Source organism: Homo sapiens, chromosome 11 (assembly GCF_000001405.40).
Source record: "Homo sapiens chromosome 11, GRCh38.p14 Primary Assembly".
NCBI classification, from domain to species: Eukaryota; Metazoa; Chordata; class Mammalia; order Primates; family Hominidae; genus Homo; species Homo sapiens.
In genome coordinates, this window is record NC_000011.10 from 58,978,481 (window position 1) to 59,002,256 (window position 23,776).

Sequence of the window (23,776 nt, forward strand, 5' to 3'; positions counted from 1 at the left end):
TGGAATGTTCTGCTACAGGCATTTGAGAACCTCACAGAACTCTTAATATTCACTTTTAATTCATTCCACCAGGGAGGAAGGGTATGTGTTTTGGAGCCATTCATATATGGTTTCAAAATTTGACTCTGGCATTTACCTCTGTAAGAACTTGAGGAATTTACTTGGTCTCTCTGAGCTTTGGTATGTTTAGAATGAGGATGATACTAACAGATTCTACATCATGATTGTTACTTGAATGAAGAAATATAAAGTGCATTTTAAATTCATTTGGTCCCTTAACATTGTCCCTTCCCTTGTTATCTTTTCAGAGTTTCTTCTTGAATGGCTCAAGGACTGAAGCATCCCACAAAATGATTCTACTGAATAACTCCCAGAAGCTGCTGGTTCTATACAAACCCTTGGCCTGGAGCATACCTGAGTCCCTGAAGGTGAGGGAACAGTGAGAGAGTCAGAGGCTTTGTGCATGTTTCTTTACCTTTCTGTGCCTTTACCTTCGTTCTTTTCATCAAGGAAATAGGAATAATATTAGCGCCTACCTCTTAAAGTTTTTGTGGACACTAAATAAATCCATACAATGTAAGTGCTAAGAGCATTGCCAAGTGCCCAGCTAGTGCACAGTAGCTCTTTGGTATCAGAAGGACACCTACCTGTGAGTTCTGCCTACTTGATGGTGACTTCATGTCAATCAGAAGGGTCCTAGAGATGCTGCTGATCTCACCATCACTGACTTGGTCACAGTACTGTCTGTTGACTTTTGTTTTTCTCTTTCTCTTCACATCCAGATCTCCATCTCTGAGGATCCCAGGCTCTCCTAGTCTTTCCATCCCTCCTTCAGGTGTATGGCTCTGTGTACCACATAAATCACAGGAACCCCTTCAATATGGAGGTGCTAGTGGACTCCTGGCCTGAGTATCAGATGGTTATTATCCAGCCTCAAAAGCAGGTAGGCACACAGATAGGGACGGGTGGAGCCAGGTTGGTCCAAAGGGCCTAAGGAACTGACCAGTTGAGACACCAGGGCTGCTTTTATAGAGTGAAAGAAAATGTGAGTATTTTAAAAGACTCCTTAAGTACTTCGCACCTTGCAAGAGTGCCATGTGTTCCCACCCTTCCTGTAAAGCATAAGACTCATCTAGGAAAAGGGGTGGAGGGGGTAGAGGAAGAAAATGATAAGGCTGACACTCACAGACTAAGGGCCTTTTGAGGTGGCAGGGGTCACCTGCAGGGGCTGAGAGGAGGCAAATTGACAGGGAAAGTTGGGTGTCTGAGATATCAGAACAGTGACTTAGAAACAAAAACCAAAGCAGAAGTCTACCAGTAAAAATTTCCTCTCAGGGCCAGGCATGATGTCTTCTTCCTGTAATCCCAGCACTTCAGGAGGCCAAGGCAGGAGGATCACTTGAGCCCAGGAATTTGAGACCCACCTCTGCAACATAGTGAGACCTCATCTCCACACACACACAAAAATAAATAAAAAATAAACAAAATTAGCAGGGCATGGTAGTGCATGTTTATTCTCCTAGCTGCTCAGGAGGCTGAGGTGGGAGGATGACTTGAGCCCCAGAAAGTCAAGGCTGCAGTGAGCCAACATCACACCGCTGTACTCCAGCCTGGGCAACAGAGTGAGACTCTGTCTTAAACAAACAAACAAAAAAACAAGAACCAGGAGGTTACTTTGCAGGAACCAGAGAAGGGAATCATAATTACTGTGTGTCAACTATTTGGAAGCAATTGTCTTGTTAGTGACTTATCATTAGAACAATCTAACGAAGTGACCATTAATGTCTCCAATTTAGAGATAAGGAAATGACACTGAGAAATATTAAGTCATGTAGCTGCTGGATACCAGACGTTAAAGCATTGCCCAATCTGAATTAAAGTTCAAAGGACTGACGGTAACCATAGGCCCTTCTCTGAGTTTCATCATGTGTTAAAATGGGAAAAATAACAGGACCTTCTTCAGAGGATTACAAGACGTTTAAATGAGATATTGTACATCAAAGACTTAGTACATAGCACATGATTTTAAATAGTATTTACCATAATTAGCCATTATGGTAATTGGAATAAACTATTAAGCTGAAATAAGGAATAAACTATTAAGCTGAAATAGTAATACAAACCTGGGTCTATTTTTTTGCCCTAAAGACTTCCCCTTTTTGTATGCATTTTATGCACATCTGGTTAGTGAACTGAAGCCTCATTGCCAGCCCAACTTCATGCGAGTATAGGCGCTGAGCCTCCAAATAGTAATAAGCCACCCGAATTCAAGACTAGCGTGCAAACTGGGTCAGGATTGGAATGCAGAAAGTGACAAAGTGACCCTAGATTGAGGAACAAAGGGGTAAAGGGGGTGAGAGCCAGGCTGAGCCTAACACCTTCCCTAAGGATGTTCTTTTGATTTCCTGGCTTCCTGACAATTTCGGATTGAAGATGAATGCTTAGTTTATTTAATCCATGGTCCAAGTTCTTCAAAGTGTGATATGCTAAATAATTGTAGGAAGCCAAATAGTTCTTTTTACTTCACTAACTTTGTATTTATTATGTGTATTTTAGCATCGTAACTATAGCATCAAACCATAACTTCATATATGCATTGCTTTGAACAAGGCTAGTTTTTATAAAGTGAGTCAATATACAAAAATATTGAAATATAAAAGTTCCACAGGACACATATATGACCAAAAAAAAAGGAAAGATTGAAATATGCTGCAATTTACTTTGAATTACATTCACCTTGTCTGATTCCATAGTATACCATGTTTCGTGCAGTGTTGAAAGTCAATTTGATCTTGAATAATAACTTTTTAGGGTGAGAAACAGAATTTATCTAGAAAAAAATATTTTTTTTGTTGGTTTTTAATCACAATGATAATATATGCTGATTATACAAGGGAAAAATTTAACATGATTTTAAGAAGTTAATAACCTCTCACTTCCCCTCCCCTCCTCTCCTCATTTCCTACCCTTTGGGGTAATCAATGTCCTTGTGCATATTAACATACACTGATGATCTCTCCTGTCGTCACTTTATTTATTTATTTATTTATTATACTTTAAGTTTTAGGGTACATGTGCACAATGTGCAGGTTAGTTACATAGGTATACATGTGCCATGCTGGTGTGCTGCACTCATTAACTTCTCATTTAACATTAGGTATATCTCCTAATGCTATCCCTACCCCCACCCCCACCCCACAACAGGCCCCAGTGTGTGATGTTCCCCTTCCTGTGTCCATGTGTTCTCATTGTTCAATTCCCACCTATGAGTGACAACACGCGGTGTTTGGTTTCTTGTGCCTGTGATAGTTTGCTGAGAATGATGGTTTCCAGCTTCATCCATGTCCCAACAAAGGACATGAACTAGTTCAACCATTGTGGAAGTCAGTGTGGTGATTCCTCAGGGCTCTAGAACTAGAAATACCATTTGACCCAGCCATGCCATTACTGGGAATATATCCTGTCATCACTTGTTAATTTGCCTTTGACATATGGGCATCCCTTTGGGAAAATCAATACAGAACTAATATATTCGTTTTAACAACTGTGGCATTCCACAGAGCCAATGCAATGCTATTTAGTCACTCTTTCTTCTGCTGTTGGGTTCAAATTTTTCACACTTTGTTGCAAGTACAAACAATGCTTCAAAAAATGTCCTCTTATATATGTCTTTACATCCTGGAAACTTTTCTCAATACAATTGATTTCCAAAAGGGATGTCTCCAAGTCAGAATTTATTTTATCATAAGTAAGCCCTGCCAGATTACCTTCCCAAAGGATTCCAGTTTTATTTCCATTAGCAATGTGTGGAAGAATTGTTTCCCCACATTCTCACCGGCACTGAATGTTTTCCCTCTTTTAACTTATGCCAAACTGGTGAGTGAAAGTTGGCATCTTATTGTAGATTTAATTTGCATTTCCATGACTAGTGATAGTCAACATATTGTATTTTCATATGTTTATCAGTAATTTGGGGTTTACTTCTGAACTGTTTGTATTGTTTCACCATGTTTACACTGGGGTTTTATGTCATTCTTAAAATTCTGTAAGTGTTTTTGATACTAGGGATACTAACACAAGGCGTATGCTACAAATTTATTGCCCAATTTAGAATTATTTTCTATTTTATTGATGGAGATTTTGACATGAAGAAATTTTTAACTTTCCTGTAATCAAATATGTTATATTTTTCACTATGACTTCAGAGGTTTTGTTTTCTTTAGTTAATAATTAGGAAGATTTTTCCTACTCCAAGATCATGCAAGTGTTTTCTTATTTTGTCTTACAGTGAGTTAATTTTTACTTTTGACATTTCAATCTTCATTCTATTTAAAATATGTTTTTGAATAGCATGAAATAACATTCTTTTATATTTTTCTTCCTTATGGCTGGCTAATTATGTTATTACTATTTATTAAATAAGTCATTCCACTACTGAAACATAAATGTCTATGTTGTCATATCACCTTTACATATTTTTGTATCTATTTCTGTATTTGTTTCTAGTCTTTTCTTATGCTATTTCATTGTTTTGTGGTAAATTTTAATATCTAATAAAGCAAATCACCCTTCACCAATACTTTTCTTACTTTCCTATTTCTTATACACTTAAGAGCCATATGAACAATAACTAATTTTCCCAGTTCCCCACCAACTACCCCAACTAACTATTGCAATTGTGGTTAGTATTGTCTAAAAGACGATTGTGGAAAGATTACTATTTTTGCGGTACTACATCTTGTCATCTAGAAATATGGTCTTTTTCTCACTTTTTTCAGTTTCTGTTCTATGCCATCTTGTAAAATTTAAGTGTTTTCCTGTAGTAAACTACATGATTTTCCATTAAGTTTACTTTTCGGTATTTTATATTATTTGTTAAGATTATTAAATTATTTTTCCTTTTCTATTTCTGAGAATTATTATTTTGTTATTGCTTTTCATTTGTATTTTTGATTTCCAAATATGTCACACTATTCTTTAAAATCCTGTTTGTGTAGGGTATTATTTGGTTTTGTTTTTTGTCAAAGTCTCTTGGATTTTCTCAATGCATAATACTGTAATGTACAAACAAAGTTATTTGCTGCTTCTTTGCCAATATTTGTAAGGGTTTTTAGTTTCTTGACTTATTGCATAATTTACAACCTAAGGAAACAATACCAACTAACAATAATAATATTTTTATACTTGTCTCATTCCTGATTTTAATAAAATAGCTATAACAACATATATGTAGAATTGCATTTGATTCTGTCTTTACATGTTTAGAGCATTTTCCTCTTGTTCCTACTTTCATAGAACTTATATTTATAATGGAGAGTAAATTTTATATTCTTTCATTTTTGTCTTTTCTATTTGGCAACTTATATACTCATGTAATTTTTCCTCCTTTAATTTATCACACTAAAAGATCTTCCAATCAAAGCCATTCAAGCCTTTCTAAAACAAACTGTTCCTGTTCACATTTTTTTACCTTTTTTTTAATTGTACTTTAAGTTCTACGGTACATGTGCACAACGTGCAGGTTTGTTACATAGGTATACATGTGCCATGTTGGCTTGCCGCACCCATCAACTTGTCATTTACTTTAGGTATTTCTCCTAATTCTACTCCTCCCCCAGCCCCCCAGTCACCCACCCCCTGAAAGGCCCTGATGTTCCCCATCCTGTGTCCAAGTGTTCTCATTGTTCAATTCCCACCTAGGAGTGAGAACATGCAGTGTTTTTTTTCTGTCCTTGTGATTGTTTGCTGAGAATGATGGTTTCCAGCTTCATCCATGTCCCTGCAAAGGCCATGAACTCATTCTTTTTTATGGCTGCATAGTATTCCATGGTGTATATATGCTACATTTTCTTAATCCGGTCTATCATTGATGGACATTTGAGTTGGTTCCAAGTCTTTGCCATTGTGAATATTGCCGCAATAAACATACATGTGCATGTGTCTTTATAGTAGCATGATTTATAATCCTTTGAGTATATACCCAGTTATGGCATCGCTGGGTCAAATGGTATTTCTAGTTCTCGATCTTTGAGAAATCACCAAACTGTCTTTCATAATGGTTGAACTAATTTACACTCCCACCCACAGTGTAAAAGCATTTATATTTTTCCACAGCCTCTTCAGCATCTGTTGTTTCCTGACTTTTTAATGATCACCATTCTAAATGGAGTGAGATGGTATCGCATCGTGGTTTTGATTTACATTTCTCTAATGACCAGTGATAATGAGCATTTTTTCATGTGTCTGTTGGCTGCATAAATACCTTCTTTGGAGAAGTGTCTGTTCAAATCTTTTGCCCAATTTTGATGGGGTTTTTTTTTCTTTTAAATTGGTTTAAGTTCCTCATAGATTCTGGATATTAGCCCTTTATCAGATGGGTAGATTGCAAAAATTTTCTCCCATTCTGTAGGTTGCTTGTTCACTCTGATGATAGTTTCTTTTGCTGTGCAGAAGCTCTTTAGTTTAATTAGATCCCATTTGTCTGTTTTGGCTTTTGTTGCCATTGTTTTTTTGTTTTAGTCATGAAGTCTTTGCCCATGCCTATGTCCTGAATGGTATTGGCTATGTTTTCTTCTAAGGTTTGTATGCTATTAGGTCTTACATTTAAGTCTTTAAACCATCTTGAGTTAATTTTTGTATAAGGTGTAAGGAAGGGATCCACGTTCAGCTTCCTACATATGGCTAGCCAGTTTTCCCACCACCATTTATGAAATAGGGAATAGTTTCCCCATTTGTTGTCTTTGTAAGGTTTGTCAAAGATCAGATGGTTGAGATGTGTGGTGTTATTCCTGAGGCTAGGGTTTTGTTCCATTGGTCTGTATATCTGTTTTGGTACCACGCTGCTTTGATTACTGCAGCCTTGTAGTATTGTTTGAAATTAGGCAGCATGATGCCTCCAGCTTTGTTCTTTTTGCTTAGGATTGTCTTGGCTATTCTTGCTCCTTTTTGGTTCCATATGAACTTCAGAGTAGTTTTTTCCAATTCAGTGAAGAAAGTCTTTTGTTCCTTGATGTGGATGGCACTGACTCTATAAATCACCTTAGGCAGTATGGCCATTTTCACAATATTGATTCTTTCTATCCATGGTCATGGAATGTTCTTCCATTTGTTTGTGTTATCTTTTATTTCATGGAGCAGTGATTTGTAGTTCTTGAAGAGGTCCTTCACATCCCTTGTAAGTTGGATTTCAAGGTATTTTATTCTCTTTGTAGCAATTGTGATTGGGAGTTCACCCATGATTTGGCTCTCTGTTTGCCTCTTATTGGTGTAGAGGAATACTTGTGAGTTTTGCACATTGATTTTGTACCCTGAGACTTTGCTGAAGTTGCTTATCTGCTTAAGGAGATTTTGGGCTGAGACGATGGGGTTTTCTAAATATACAATCATGTCATCTGCAAACAGGGACAATTCGACTTCCTTTTTTCCTAATCGAATACCTTTCATTTCTTTCTCTTGCCTGATTGCCCTGGCCAGAACTTCCAACACTATGTTAAATAGGAGTGGTGAGAAAGAGCACCCTTGTCTGTGTTGGTTTCCAAATGGAATGCTTCCAATTTTTGCCCGTTCAGTATGATATTGGCTCTGGGTTTGTCATAAATAGCTCTTATTATTTAGAGATACATTCGATCAATACCTAGTATATTGAGAGTTTTTATCATGAAAGGCTGTTGAATTTTGTTGAAGGCCATTTCTGTATCTATTGAGATAATCATGAGATTTTTGTCTTTGGTTCTGTTTATGTGATGGATTATGTATATTGATTTGCATATGTTCAACCAGCCTTACATCCAAAGTATGAAGCCGACTTGATCGTGGTGGATTAGCTTTTTAGTGTGCTGCTGGATTCGGTTCGCCAGTATTTTATTGAGGATATTTGCAGCGATGTTCATCAGGGATATTGGTCTAAAATTCTCTTTATTTGTTGTGTCTCTGCCAGGCTTTGGTGTCAGGATGATGCTGGCCTCATAAAATGAGTTAGGGAGGATTCCCTCTTTTTCTATTGATTGGAATAGTTTCAGAAAGAATAGTACCAGATCCTCTTTGTACTTCTTGTAGCATTCGGCTGTGAATCCCTCTGGTCCTGGACTTTTTTTGTTGGTAGGCTATTAATTATTGCCTCAATTTGAGAACCTGTTATTGGTCAATTCAGAGATACAACTTCTTCCTGGTTTAGTCTTGGGAGGGTGTATGGTTCCAGCAATATATGGATTTCTTCTAGATTTTGTATTTTATTTGCATAGAGGTGTTTATAGTATTCTCTGATGGTAGTTTCTATTTGTAGGATTGGTGGTGATATCCCCTTTTTCATTTTTTATTGCATCTGTTTGATTCTTCTCTCTTTTCTTGCTGGCGTTCTATCAATTTTGTTGATCATTTCAAAAAACCAGCTCCTAGATTCATTGATTTTTTTGAACGGTTTTTTGGGTCACTGTCTCCTTCAGTTCTGCGCTGATCTTAGTTATTTCTTCCCTTCTGCTAGCTTTTGAATTTGTTTCCTCTTGCTTCTCTAGTTCTTTTAGTTGTGATGTTAGGGTGTTGACTTTAGATCTTTCCTACTTTCTCTTGTGGACATTTGGTGCTATAAATTTCCCTCCACACACTACTTTAAATGTGTCCCAGAGCTTCTGGTACATTGTTTCCTTGTTCTCATTGATTTCAAAGAACATCTTTATTTCTGCCTTCATTTCATTATTTACCCAGTAGTCATTCAGGAAAAGGTTTTTCAGTTTCCATGTAGTTGTGCAGTTTTGAGTGAATTTCTTAATCCTGAGTTCTAATTTGATTGCACTGTGGTCTGAGAGACAGTTTGTTGTGATTTCTATTCTTTTACATTTGCTGAGGAGTGTTTTATTTCCAATTATGTGGTCAATTTTAGAATGAGTGCGATGTGATGAGAAGAATGTATATTCTGTTGATTTGGGGTAGAGAGTTCTGTAGATGTCTATTAGGTCCACTTGGTGCAGAGCTGAGTTCAAATCCTGGATATCCTTGTTAACTTTCTGTCTCATTGATCTGTCTAATGTTGACAGTGGGGTGTTAAAGTCTCCCATTATTATTGTGTGGGAGTCTAAGTCTCTTTTTAGGACTCTAAGGACTTGCTTTATCAATCTGGGAGTTCCTGTGTTGGGTGCATATATATTTAGGAGAGTTAGCTCTCCTTGTTGAGTTGATCCCTTTACCATTATGTAATAGCCTTCTTTGTCTCTTTTGATCTTTGTTGGTTGAAAGTCTGTTTTATCAGAGACTAGGATTGCAAGCCCTGCTTTTTGTTGTTTTCCATTTGCTTGGTAGATCTTCCTCCATCCATTTATTTTGAGGCTATGTGTGTCTCTGCATGTGAGATGGGTCTCCTGAATACAGCAGATTGATGAGTCTTGATTCTTTATCCAATTTTCCAGTCTGTGTCTTTTAATTGGGACATTTAGCCCATTTACATTTAAGGGTAATATTGTTATGTGTGAAATTGATCCTGCCATTATAATGTTAGCTGGTTAATTTGCCCACTACTTGATGCAGTTTCTTTATAGCATCAATGGTCTTTATAATTGGGCACGTTTTTTTCTGTGGCTGGTACCAGTTTTTCCTTTCCATGTTTAGTGCTTCCCTCAGGAACTCTTAGGCCTTGTGGTAACAAAATCTCTTAGCATTTGCTTGTCTGTAAATGATTTTATTTCTCTTTCACTTATGAAGCTTAGTTTGGCTGGATATGAAATTCCAAGTTGAAAATTCTTTTCTTTAAGAATGTTGAATATTGGCCCCTACTCTCTTCTGGTTTGTAGGTTTTCTGCTGAGAGATCCGCTGGTAGTCTGATGGGCTTCCCTTTGTGGGTAATCCAACCTTTCTCTCTGGCTTCCCTTAACATTTTTTCTCATTTCAATCTTGGTGAATCTGACAATCATGTGTCTTGAGGTTGCTCTTCTCAAGGTTGCTCTTCTCAAGGAGTATCTTTGTAGTGTTCTCTGTATTTCCTGAATTTGGATGTTGGCTTGCCTTTCTAGGTTGGGGAAGTTCTCCTAGATAATATCGTGAAGAGTGTTTTCTAACTTGGCTCCATTCCCCCCGTCACTTTCAGATACACCAATCAAACGTAGATTTGGTCTTTTCACATAGTCTCATATTTATTGGAGGCTTGTTTGTTTCTTTTTACTCTCTTCTCTCACTTTGTCTTCTCACTTTATTTCATTAATTTGATCTTCAATCACTGATATCCTTTCTTCCACTTGATTAAATTGGCTATTGAAGCTTGTGAATGCATCAAGAAATTCTCGTGCCAAGGTTTTCAGCTCCATCAGGTCATTTAATGTCTTCTCTACACTCTTTATTCTAGTTAGCCATTCGTCTAACTTTTTTTAAATGTTCTTAGCTTCATTTCAATGGGTTAGAAGATGCTCCTTTAGCTCGGAGAAGTTTATTATTACCGACCTTCTGAAGCCTACTTCTGTCAACTCGTCAAAGTCATTCTCCGTCCAGTTTTGTTCCATTGCTGGCAAGAAGCTGCAATCCTTTGGAGGTGAAGAGGTGCTCCAGATTTTGGAATTTTCAGCTTTTCTTTTCTGGTTTCTCCCCATCTTTGTGGTTTTATCTACCTTTGGTCTTTGATGTTGGTGATCTACGATGGGGTTTTGCTGTGGATGTCCTTTTTGTTGATGTTGATGCTATTCCTTTCTGTTGTTAGTTTTCCTTCTAAAAGTCAGGCCTCTCAGCTGCATGTCTGTTGGAGTTTGCTGGTAGTCCCTCTATACCCTTTTTGCCTGGGTATCACCAGTGGAGCTGGCAGAACAGCAAATAGTGTAGAACAGCAAATATTGCTGCCTGATCCTTCCTCTGAAAGCTTCATCCCAGAGGGGCAACCTCCTGTATGAGGTGTCTGTCAGCCCCTACTGGGAGGTGTCTCCCAGTCAGGCTACATGGGGGTCAGGGACCCACTTTATGAGGCAGTCTGTCTGTTTTCAGAGCTCAAACACCATGCTGGAAGAATCACTGCTCTCTTCAAAGCTGTCAGAGACATTTAAGTCTGCAGAAGTTGTCTGCTGACTTTTATTCAGCTACGCCCTGCCCACAGAGGTGGAGTCTATAGAGGACGTAGGCCTTGTTGAGCTGCGGTGGGATCCGCCCAGTTGAAGCTACTTGGCCACTTTGTTTACCTACTCAAGCCTCAGCAATGGCGGATGCACCTCCTCCTGTCAGACTGCAGCCTTGCAGGTTGATCTCAGACTACTGCACTGGCAGTGAGAAAGGCTCCATTGGTGTGAGACCTGCTGAGGCAGGCACGGGAGGGAATCTCAAGGACTGCTGGTTGCTAAGACTGTCAAAAAGTGCAGCATTTGGGCAGAAGTGTACCATTTTCCCAGGTGGAGTCTGTCATGGCTTCCCTTGGCTAGGAAACAGAAATACCCCAACCCCTTCTGCTTCCTGGGTGAGGCAATGCCCCATGCTGATTTGGCTCTCCCTCAATGGGCTGTGCCCACTGTCCAACCTGTCCCTATGAGATAAACCAGGTATCTCATTTGGAAATGCAGAAATCACTCATCTTCTCCATCTAACTTTCTGAGAGCTGCAGACTGGAGGTGTTCCTATTTGGCCATCTTGGAAGTGCTCATGTTCTTCTGATATACTACTGAATATTTTATGCAGAATTTTTATATATGTATTCATAAGAGAATATGGTCAATAAGTCTCTTTTTGTTATTTTTTTAACAGATTTGGCATTAGGAACTTTTCTTCTGTTTCCAAAGCTTAATATTAAAATTATGTGTTTGTTTTGGCTTGTGTACAATTTAAATGAAAAATAATCTGATTTTGGCTACTTCTTATTTTTTAATTTTAATTTTTTTCTTTAGATACAAGTGGTCCATATGCAGATTTTTTACATGTGAATATTGCATGATGCTGAATTTTGGAGTACGGACCGATCCCATCTGCCTGGTAGTGAGCATCGTACCCAATAGTTTTCTAACCAGCCCCTCTGTCTCTACCCTCTAGTAGTCCACAGTATCTATTGTTCCCACATTTATGTCCATGTATGATCAATGCTTAGCTGTCAGTTATGAGTGAGAACATGTGGTATTTGGTTTTCTGTTACAGCATTAATTTGCTTAGGATTATTGCACTGTGGAAAGTAGTCTGGAAATTTCTTAGAGAAATTAAAACAAAGTTACCATTCAACCAAACAATGCCATTAGTAGGTAAATAGCCAAAAGAAAATGAATGATTCTACGCAAATGACACATGCATTTGTATATTCATTGCTGCACTGTTCACAATATGAAAGAAATGGAATCAACCCAGATGCCCATCAATTGTAGACTGGATTAAAAAAACGTGGTATATATATTCCTGTGGAATACTACAGAACAACAGAAAAGAATAAAATATTGTCCTTTGTAGCAACATGGGTGGAGCTGGAGGCCATAATCCTTGTCCAATTTTTAAACGGTAGATTTTAAATTTAATTTCTCATATTTTATAATAGTTTGTTGAGGTTTTCTATGTTTTTGAAAGTCAATTTTGATAGTTTATTTTTGAGGGATAACATCCATTTCTTTTATCAATAAATATGTTGCCTTTGAGTAGTATATAATCCTCTATTATAATTTTTTTGTTCTTTTCTCTGTTTGCATTCTCATCTCTCATACTCTACGCTTATTTTTTTATTTTTGTTTTTTCTCTGTCTCTCGTATTTCCTTAAAATACCTTACCAGAAGTTTATCCCTCTCTCTCTTCTCTTTCTGTTTTTGCCATTTAAAAATGAACTCTGGTTTTTATATATCCTTTATACTATGTCTTGTTTTCCATTTCATTATAGGTAGCTTTCATTTTTATAGATGGTTCCATTTGTTTTCTTCTAGTTTACTTTGATAATCTTTTTATAATTCCTTGAATATTTACTTGGCTATTTTCAGTCATTTTTAAAAATCTGGTCTTTTAAAACATCTACTATTTTAAATTCATGGAAGTTTTGGTTTCGGCCATATTCAGGAACTTCCTTTCATAAAAACACTCGCAAATTCTTGAAGTTTTCTTTAAAATTAGTCACACTATTTTCTCTTTTTTCTAAAATAATATTCACTGCTAAAACTCTCATACTTATTGTTTATATTTCACCCAAGAAACAGAAATTCATCTTCCCATGAAGTTTGTGGCTTGCCAGAAGGTGATCACCAGTCTATTTTTTTAAACCCATAAGTCTAACACCACATAAATTACCCAGAGTGCTGCCAAAATTTCAGCTATTTCATTCTATTTTGTGGGCTTCTGGCTTTAAAGACAGTGTCACTCTTTCAATAGGCTGATATCCTGTAGGCTTGGGAAAAGGCTGTGTCTCATTAATGTTTATATTCACTAAAGCATCTTGCCCAAGCCCTGGACACTAGATTCTAGGACACTATAGATTCTAGGTGTCTGGTGAAACAGTAGGCACTAACATTTAGATAATTCACAGCTAAATTTATTTTGAGCCAAGTTTAAGGACTTAATCCTAGAGATACAGCCTCAGTACATCCCAGGATGTGTCACACAGGAGGTTACGTGGGGGCACAGTATATATAACAGGGGGATACCTGTGGCCCAGGAGGTGAGAAAAGCAGGGAGAGAAGCAACTGATGCAATCTGATTCTGCTGGGTTCTCGGTGATGCTATATATAAAATAAAGTAAGTGTGCAATTGAGTGAGTAGGGAGAAAGGTGAGGCATCTTAAGGCCTGGTGGAAGGTGGCTGATTTCATCCTGTCTTCTTTCTGGATCTGATAAGCAGTTTTATAACCAGTACCTGTCACTGAAATATTTAACAAACTCCAGTTACGCAGGCAAGAGGTCAGCAGTAGCTTATAAGCCTAGGTTTTATTATCCGTGTGCCCACCTGCAGCCATCATGGGCCACTGGTAAAATTTTCTTTTGAACTTTCATTTTTCTGATAATTGCAATCAGTGAGAGGTGAAGAAAAAGTTCAATTGAATGATCTGAACTTTCACCATCCTAAACAGGAGATGACTGATGACGTGGATTCATACACAAATGTACATTGTATGTTCTCCAAAGAGACTAAAAAATCACAAGAAGTTTTGAAATATGTGAGATCATAAACTGGAAACAGATACTCCAAATCCATGATAACAAGTCTGAAGAAATGGGCAAGCAGCTGTTCTTCTCAAATTGAGTCATCAACTAATATTATTAGCATCACCTGAGAGCTCAATAGAAATGTAAATTTACAAAAACTCTGGGGACTGGGAGAAGTAGAGCAATCTGTGGTGTGACAAAGACTCCAGCAGATTGTGGTGTAAACTCAAGTTTGATAACGACTAAGCATTGATGTATTAATCAGGTGGGAGCAGTGTAAGTAGAGAACTCCATGTCTGACAATATTGCTTTCTTGGCTTTCTTCCCAGGTCTTCAAGAAAGTTTAGGTGAGGGGATAAGAGTGGCTGCATTTTCAAAGTCACTGAAGGTAGAGCAATCAAGAGCAGTCCTCTTTATTATGGAGAATATCCTGAAGTTCCATGACTCCAATAAAAGCAAGCTGGAAGCTGAGCTGAGTCAGGCCACCCAGATGATGAATTTGAGAGACAAAAACATGTGCTGGTCATTTATAATTGCTATTCCTTGTACATTTTTGTTATTCACATAAGTGAGTTTTGGAATGAAAAGAGGATGAATTCATGCTTTGGGATGAATAAAAGTTGTCAATGGTCAAAATACACAGCTTGCAATGGTGGGTCATTAGACAAGAAGAGTCCCTGGGATCTCTAGAATGTGATGGCACCCAGAAATTACAGGGGTGAGGATGAATGTTGTTGTCTTTCTTTTTGTTTTCTATGGTGAAACTCCCAACTTTAAGAATGCCCTGTTGGTTATCTCTTATTCAGGGCTGGTAAATGATAACTGGAGGTGCAGGAAGAATGAGAGGAGCTGGCGTTACATCAAGCACTGTATAGGAGGCCTGCCAGCAGCCTGTATGCTGGGTCCAGATGGGGCTCCGGTATCATGATTAACCTTGGACTCTTCTTGTGATGTAGGAATAGCCTACAGCATGGAAAAATACCAAAGGGCAGACGACATGGCACGGGTGATCATGGGATTCATGAAATATCTGCATCAGAATAATAGTCCATTTTACTTCTCTTTTCTAGAAGTAAATGATGACTCCCACAGATTTGTGGGGCAGTTCTGTTCCTTTGAGGCCACGTGTAAGTACCACCAATGGACCTGATACCCGGAGAATCTAGTTCCATTTTAGACAATGAAGCTACCTAGCTATCTTGTGCAAGCCATCTCTTAATATATCCGTAGAAGAAACCATAGAATAGGTTTCTTCACTTACAAATGTTTATTCGGCATTTATGATATGCCAGGAGCTTTTCTAACATAGAGACTTGATGTTAGAAGACACAGCCATGCTCTTGTGGAACTTACAATCCAGGCTGGAGGCAGGGGAGAGTATAGTCTTTAAATATGCATAAGTGTAGTAGGGAAGGACGGGTTTAGTAGTAAACATGTAACTAGAAAGCCAGGCTCAGTTCTTACCTCTTAGAATCAGAACTCTTTATGAAATGTGGTTGACAGAATCTGCTATCTGGAAGATAAATGAAGGACTTTAATAAAATTGTCATTAGAATATACCTAATCTATATGGATACTTTATTGGAAATAAATAACCCTGATATATATGAATTGAGGCAATGGCTACACTAAAGAATGGAATCAGTCTCTTTGTTTAGTGACTAGCAAGGTATCAAAGTAAAGTCTCAGACAAATGGCTTTCCTAGGCTACCTTTCATCATTGTTACGCAGAAAAGGAAATCTAGAGAATCAAGTGGACTGGCCTTGGGGCCTCTGCTATGGAAATAACATTTGTTGTGCCTCCTTTCTCCTACTCTTTCTCACTTCCTCATCATTATTGAAGCATGGCACAGGGCAAGGTGTTGCATGTGAATCTGGTTATAAGTTCAGCATTTGGTGTTTGCCACTGCTATCTTAAAGGGTCACGGGCATTCCAGGGGAAGTGACCACTAAGGTGAGGACTGGAGAGTGAGTAGGAGTGAGCCAGACAAAAAAAGCGGAAAATCTAGATGATGGAAAGGACACATGCCATGCACTATCATTAGAACTTTCTATTTGAGCGCTTATATTACAATTCTGAATCGCTGATCTTAAAAACAATTACACTTCATGATCAAAAGGTGGCCTCCTTTGGCTCTGGTCTTCCACTCTGCCATTCATATTTGCCATTGGAACTCTGCTAACATGGTGAAACCCCGTCTCTACTAAAAATACAAAAATTAGCTGGGAATGGTGGTACATGCCTGCAATCCCAGCTACTTGGGAGGCTGAGGCAGGAGAATTGCTTGAACTGGGACCTGGGAAGCAGAGGTTGTAGTGAGCCAAGTTCACATCACTGTAGTCCACCCTGGGCTACAGAGTGAGACTCTGTCTCAAAAAAAAAAAAAAAAAAAAAAGAAAGAAAGAAAGAAAGAAAAAAATTGGAAGGCAGAAGGAAATGTGAGTGCAGAAGAGAAGAATGTGATGCGATGATGATGAAAGCAGAGAGATAAAACATGATGTGATTCAGAGACCCAAGCTAAGGAGTGAGGACAGCCTCTATGATCTGGAAAAGGCAAGGGAGCTGATTTACCCACATTGCCTCCAGAAAGAGCTGGCCCTGCCAACATGTCGGTTTTAGCCCCATAAATCCTATTCTGAACTTCCGACTGCCATAAATATAACACATTGTGTTGCTTTAAGTAATCATATTTATCATAATTTGTTATAATGACAAAAGAAAACTAATACATCATAGACATAAGAATCATCTTGAAAATTTAAAGTTAAGCTTTAAATTTGCAACTCAACCTAGCAACCCCTTGTGATAAAAAGCAAGTAAGAAAACCAAATTTTCACTCCTAGCCACAAAATTTAATTTAGCTGAGCATCTCAAAGCTCCTCAGAGGGTACTCAGAATAAAAAGCAATTTTTTTCATCAAAGAAGTCATCTTCATTTAAGAAAGTGTTGCTATAAAGGGTTATCTTGACACTAATGATTGGCATTGGGTGATTTTAATTCTGAGATGTCTGTCACCATAAATGAAATTATGAGACCATAGGATTGAGCTTCTAATTTTCTGTAAGAATACAGAGGAAGAGGAGGGTAAAAATGTTAAGGGTGAGCTTAAATAATACCCAGATCCTGGATAATCAGGTGTCTTTTGTGCTAATGTACATCATCATATTTGTGTTTGAATTAATGATTTTCTACTGATAAGATTTGAAATGGACAGTGGAACTAATCAACAATATTTCTTGGGGATGCATTTCCACTGATGCCAGCCACAAGGTCAAATCTTAAACCCAACATTTTTCAGTGCCTGTAGGATTTTCTCACTATTATCTGCCGCATGAGCATAAAATGGGATTTCTTTCTGAGAAAGATAACTTTCAAGATGATAACCAATTTGCGACATGTTGCCTTGGTTTCTGTGTTTGGGGACAGTATAACCCATTCTCAACTCACTGGACTGTCCCATCACAAGCCAAGAGACAAGCTGTGCCTCTGGACCCAGCACACCAAATCCTAGAAAATCCTGGATGCAGCGTTCAATATATTTAAAGCTCCTCTCATTTTTCCCAAAGGCCCAGTGTTCATTTACAAGACCTGCATGTGAAACACCTAAGAACATGTTTGAAAAGTTTCCTTCCCTATGAAGAAAAAAAAAATTACCTTTATTCAGCCAATATTATCAAACACTGAAATTCCAATAACACCATTCCTTTCCTTAAGGATCCTACAGCCTAGAGGAGGCAATAGCTGTATTACAACTACCTTTTCTATTCCTGCTTCAAAATGTTTCCAAATAATTGGTGGGGGAACACCGTGTTTTATGGTGTATTTAATAGCAGACAGATAATATGATATGTTATAGGACATCTCAAAATGTCCCGTTAAGTATCCTAAGGAAGAAAATGAACACGTCTTTAAAAGAGTGAGGATATAGACCAGAGAAGCCCTCCACGTGGCTGAATTTACTTGAAAGATGCGTGTATGAAATCATGTGCATTTTGAGTTCTACTCCACAAAATATCTAAATATACAAGATAGTAATTCGTTGAACAGATATTCCAATCAAACATATTTTACAGGAAGATGAGAACAATGCTGATCTTACATCTTCATGTGTCCCAAAGCCTGTCATCACATACCCAGAAACGCAGTTTAAGAAGCTGCAATATAGGAAAAAGAATACTAAATTTTTGGTACTAACCTTTGGGATTCTAATCCTGATTATTTTCTTTTGGAAAAGTTATGTAAGACTCAGTTTTCTTGTTTGTAAAATTATAGTAATATCCTCTGTAAATATGGAAATAGTGAAAGAGAGAAGATCTCCAGGAATTTTTGCCCCTCTCCAGGGAGGAAGACTTTTGAGAAGTTTGTCAGTTTCAGAGTCACTTCATGTTTGCCAGTGGGTGGGTAACAGAACGCTAAGTTTTCTATGGGTGATGCTTTGTTTTTGCTCACTTCCATGCCTAACCTGATCCTGGGCTTGCTTCCTGAAAGATCTCAAGTACGCTTTCCTGCACCCCTCTCCTGTGGATAGCCAAACCTAGAATGGCAAGATATAAAGATATCCATGCGTAGGCTTAGAGGAATCACCTTAGGGCAGGTACTTCATGCCAGACTTCCAGAGTTATACTACTAAATATAATTTAATCCCCATTTATCATTGTTCCCTGTGTATATGTTCCCCTTAACAATCTCATGGGAACACTGGTGGGGCAAAGCAGTATTTGAAGACTGTTAACTTTTCTGGCTAAATCAAACATATCTGTGAATGTGTGTTTAAATTCTATTTATTTTTTCAATTAGTAACAAAATTATTAAGCATAAATGGATTACTAGAGGAAAGCAAATCTCTCTTCTTTCTCTGATCTCCTATTACCCAATTACTTTCTCTAGAAGCAACCACTAATACCAATATATTTTGTACAAGTTTCCCATAAATCTATGCAATTTTAGATATGTACATACATTTGTTTATTTTCACAAATGGTAGCATACTATATACATTGTTCTATCCACCTCATGTTTTTTTACATAGCAAACTATTTTGGAAATATTTTCTAATCTGTCATGTAGAGCTGCTTCATTCTTTGTAATGGCTTCATAGTATTCTAATGTTTTAATGTACCATAATGATTTTTTCTATTTCCCCATTACTGGATGTTTAGGTTGTTTCATAAGTTATGATATCACACATTAAATTTATGAAAATCTTACCATCCAGTTTAGAAATATCATTCATTTATTATGCATAGTCTTTGACTCAACAGTTTTAATTCTGGTAATTCATCTTTCAGAAATATTTATACAACTGTTCAATAATCTATTTATGATGATATTCATTTCAGAAAGTGCCGTAAATTATGTGTACATATTGCAAAAATAAATACATAACTCATATGGAGTACTAAAAGCATACATATCAGTGTCAAAATTATTTACACCTAGCAGGGGAACCCAAGAGGACAGATTTTATTTTTCATTTTGTATGCTTATATACTTTCTATAAGCATGTAGCATTTTGTAAGATATAAATAGTTTCAGTAAACATTTTTTGATGCCACCATGATGTCCATTGCCCTCTCCGAAGGACTCTTGTGAGCTCTAAGTGAAATAATATGCATAAAGACCTTGTCTAATGAAGGCTCTGTTCATGCTCAGCACACAGTTCCTAACGTGACGCCCTTTCTTTACCCATGCAATTTTGTAGCCCATCATAATTTAGTCTCAAATTCTACACTTCCAAGTACAGCCTTTGTGGCAACTCAATAATTCTATCAAGGAATTTGGGAAGTAAAACGTAAAATCTCACTTCTTATCATCACCCATTTTAAATAACCCCATATTGTCATTACTTGCAGTCTTGTGTTTCTTTGGTAATTCCGGTATAAAGAGCATGGTTTTCATGTAATCTACCTGCACTGATTTTGAAGTTGCAACCTTTCTTATTGCTTCATCCAAGCCCTCCTGTCAACCTGGAGAGAGGAGAAAGACAGGTACTGCTTTATACCTTCCATATCAGCTAGGAATAAACCACGCATCTTTTCTTTTAACTCAGACTAGTTAGATTGGATCTGGAAAGTTTGCTCCCAGTTGATAACCTCGGAGCGTGACCTCCTCTAAGTTGTCAGGAGCTTTGGTGAAGATGTGGTAAGAGTTGGTGTAATGATCCCAGTCATTTTTTATCTCCAGATACAACAAATATCATACATAGCCCTACAATTACAAAATACTCTTGCATAGGCCTAGAATACTAGAGATTAACTTGTTTGAAACATTCTGTTTTTCTAAGATAGGTGTAGAAAATGGCCTTGCAGTCGCTCCAAGAATAACTCACTATTTATACACTGAAGATAGTGTCTTTCTTTTAGGGCACTAAAGTGAGCTGCCCTTGAGAGGGTGAGTAAATAGCTCCATTGTCTCGAATGGGAAGTGTAACCAAAATGGTGTATGTTAAGGATTTAAAAGAGAAGGTGCCTAAGGTATGGAAAAAATATAAGAAACAGGTTTGGCAAGGCTCCGGGTTTTTGGCAAGGTGACACCTGAGCTAATCCTAACCCAGGAAGGACTCTGAGGCTGGCTCAGTGATTGGCTCTTGGAGTACATGTGAATAGATAAACTTTTGGAAAGAACTAACATTCCAGAGCCAGATAGTACCTAGAATAGACAGCTTGGTCTGGCTCTACATGTCTGCCTACCCTCTGCTGATGACACTTCCACTTGAGAGTCCTCGCAGGTGAAAACACTTCTTAATCACTTTCAGCCATAGAAGTCTAGGTTGGGATGTAGTCCTATGATCAGAATTTTGATGGAATAGACTGAGTGCTTGGAATCCTAATTTTATTTACACATCCAGGGTTATTGATCACTGGATCTAAGTTCAAGCCTTATCTCACTGCCCTACCCTCTCTCCCAAACAGCCCTTCCAAAACCTGCATACGTCAACAGTGTCAACATTCTTCTCACCACTCCTCAGTTTCAGTTCCCTCATTGCCACACAGAGAATGTCTGGAGAGTGACTGCCCTGGTATTCAGTAACTATTGCTCCTACCTGGTTCTGAGGCTGAGTAATGATGATCTGGTAATCTGTCCAGGCATCTACCATCACCTCCATTTTGAATGGGTTTTTATGTTTTATGTTGAAAATGGTGCTGTATGCCTATAATGCAACAGAACAAAACAGTAGGGGATGAAGTTTTTCTCCAATGTAAAGTCTTATATGAGGCATGGGAAATAAGGACAAGAAGCCTAGGAGGACTTAGGATGGGGCCAGTGCTTCCAAGGTGGTTCATTGGGCTACTCATTGAGAGTTATGTTGCAAAAGGGACCAATAAGCATCCACAAAAATCCATGTTAACACCCGAATCATTAGGAACTGGCTTCCCTTATATTCATTCATTTTTTAAAAATTCATGCCATTTCACATTGTAATTGTGAAATGTGTGAAAAGTTCACATTGTAAATGTGTAGCAGATCTTTAATGGCTTGGTCAACACAAAATATTGGCTACAATCAATTACAGGTGGTAATATATCCTGAAAGATTAAAATTAGAAAAAAAAGGTCCAGAACCATCAGGGCCATTTGGGGCTAAAACCAGGATGGCCACCTCCTCCTCAGCCGAGTGAGTGCTGGAGGAGGGAGCCTGAAACTAGGCTCACTGTGACTCATTTGTGGCACCCATTATTGCCCAACCTGCAGTTCACTATGGTGAAGGAGCAATTCAGACTCACCCTGCAGCATCCCGTCTGGGTCAAACAGTGGCTGCTCCCTAAGGAATAGTTGGGGGCGCTACATAAAGTAGTTTAAAAACTATTGTAAAAAGGACATGTTTCACCAATGTTCTTTCCTTAGATTCTCCAGTGTTTGTAATTCATAAAAATTCCAGCCGATGGGGCATGCTGACCAACTTAAGAGCTGTCAATGCAGTAATTCAACCCCTGGGGGGCTCTCTCAACTGGGTTGCCCTCTCTGGCCATAATCCCCAAAGATTTGCCTTTAATTATAATTCATCTGAAGGATTGCTTTTTTACCGCTCCTCTGGCAAAACAGGATTTTGAAAAATTTGCTTTTACTATACCAGCCATAAATAATAAAGAACCAGCCACCAGGTTTCAGTGGAAAGTGTTGCCTCAGGGAAGGCTTAATAGTCCAACTATTTGTCAGACTTTTGTAGCTCAAGCTCTTCAACCAGTTAGAGACAAATTTTCAGACTATTATATCATTCATTATGTTGATGATATTTTGTGTGCTGCAAAAACCAGAGACAAATTAATTGGCTGTTACACATTTCTGCAAACAGAGGTTTAAAACACAGGGCTGACAATAGCATCTGATAAGATTGAGACCTCTACTCCTTTTCATTATTTCAGAGTGCAGGTAGAGGATAGGAAAATTAAACCACAAAAAATAGAAATAAGAAAAGACACATTAAAAACATTAAATGACTTTCAAAAATTGCTAGGAGATATTAATTGGATTTGGCCAACTCTAGGCATCCCTACTTATGCCATGTCAAATTTGTTCTCTGTCTTGAGAGGGGATCCAGAATTGAATAGTAAAAGAACATTAACTCCAGAGACAACTAAAGAAATTGGATTAGTTGAAGAAAAAATTCAGTGAGCACAAGTAAATAGAATACATCCCTTGGCCCAACTCCAGCTTGATTTTTGCTACTGTGCATTCTCCAACAGCCGTTATCGTTCAAAACGCAGGTCTTGTGGAGTGGTCCTTCCTTCCTCACAGTACAATTAATACTTTTACATTGTACTGGGATCAAATAGCTACATTAATTGGTCAGGCGAGATTACGAATACTAAAATTGTGTGGAAGTGACCCAGAAAAAATCATTCTTTCTTTAATCAAGAAACAGGTTAGAAAAGCCTTTATCAATTCTGCTTCATGGTAGATTGGTCTTGCTAATTTTGTGGAAATTATTGACAATCATTACCCAAAAACAAAAATCTTCCAGTTTTTAAAATTGGCTACTTGGATTTTACCTAAAATTACCAGACATAAACATTTACAGAATGCTCTGATGGTGTTTACTGATGGTTCCAGCCATGGAAAAGCAGCTTACATCAGGCCAAAAGAACGAGTCATTGAAACTCAATATTACTCAGCTCAAAGAGCAGAGTTGGTTGCTGTCATTTCAGTGTTACAAGGTTTTAATCAGCCTATTAACATTGTATCAGATTCTGCATATGTAGTACAGGCTACAAAGGATGGTGAGACAGCCCTAATCAAATATAGTATTGATGATCAGTTAAACCAGCTGTTTAATTTGTTACAAAAACACTGTAAAAAAAAGAAATTTCCCATTTTATATTACTCATATTTGAGCACATATTAATTTACCAGGGCCTTTAACTGAAGCAAATGAACAAGCTGACTAGCTAGTATCATCTGCATTCATAGAAGCATAAGAACTTCATGCCTTGACTCATGTAAATGCAACAGGATTAAAAAGTAAAATTGATATCCATAAAAACAGCCAAAAAATATTGTACAACACTGGACCCATGTCAAGTCCTAAACCTGCACACTCAGGAGGTAGGAGTTAATCCCAGAGTTCTATGTCCTAATGCATTATGGCAAATGGATGTCACACATGTACTGTCGTTTGGAAAATTGTCATTTGTCCATGTGACAGTTGATACTTATTCACATTTTGTATGGGCAACCTGCCAGACAGGAAAAAGTACTTCCCATGTTAAAAGACGTTTAT

General features: G+C 37.8%; 1 long non-coding RNA gene and 2 pseudogenes across 1 annotated transcript in view; 1 reads left to right on the plus strand and 2 right to left on the minus strand.

The window, feature by feature from the left end:
• The window catches only part of GLYATL1-AS1 (GLYATL1 antisense RNA 1), a 124,810-nt gene that overhangs the window by 44,838 nt on the left and 56,196 nt on the right, over positions 1-23,776 (minus strand). Inside the window, exons 4-5 of the long non-coding RNA NR_033853.2 lie at positions 15,523-15,571; positions 648-845 (exon numbers count right to left, since the gene is read on the minus strand). This is a non-coding gene — a long non-coding RNA (GLYATL1 antisense RNA 1). The remainder of the gene's footprint in view (positions 1-647; positions 846-15,522; positions 15,572-23,776) is intronic.
• GLYATL1P1 (glycine-N-acyltransferase like 1 pseudogene 1) lies at positions 307-15,408 on the plus strand (annotated as a pseudogene).
• Positions 17,086-21,219, minus strand: LOC100287485 (glycine-N-acyltransferase like 2 pseudogene; annotated as a pseudogene).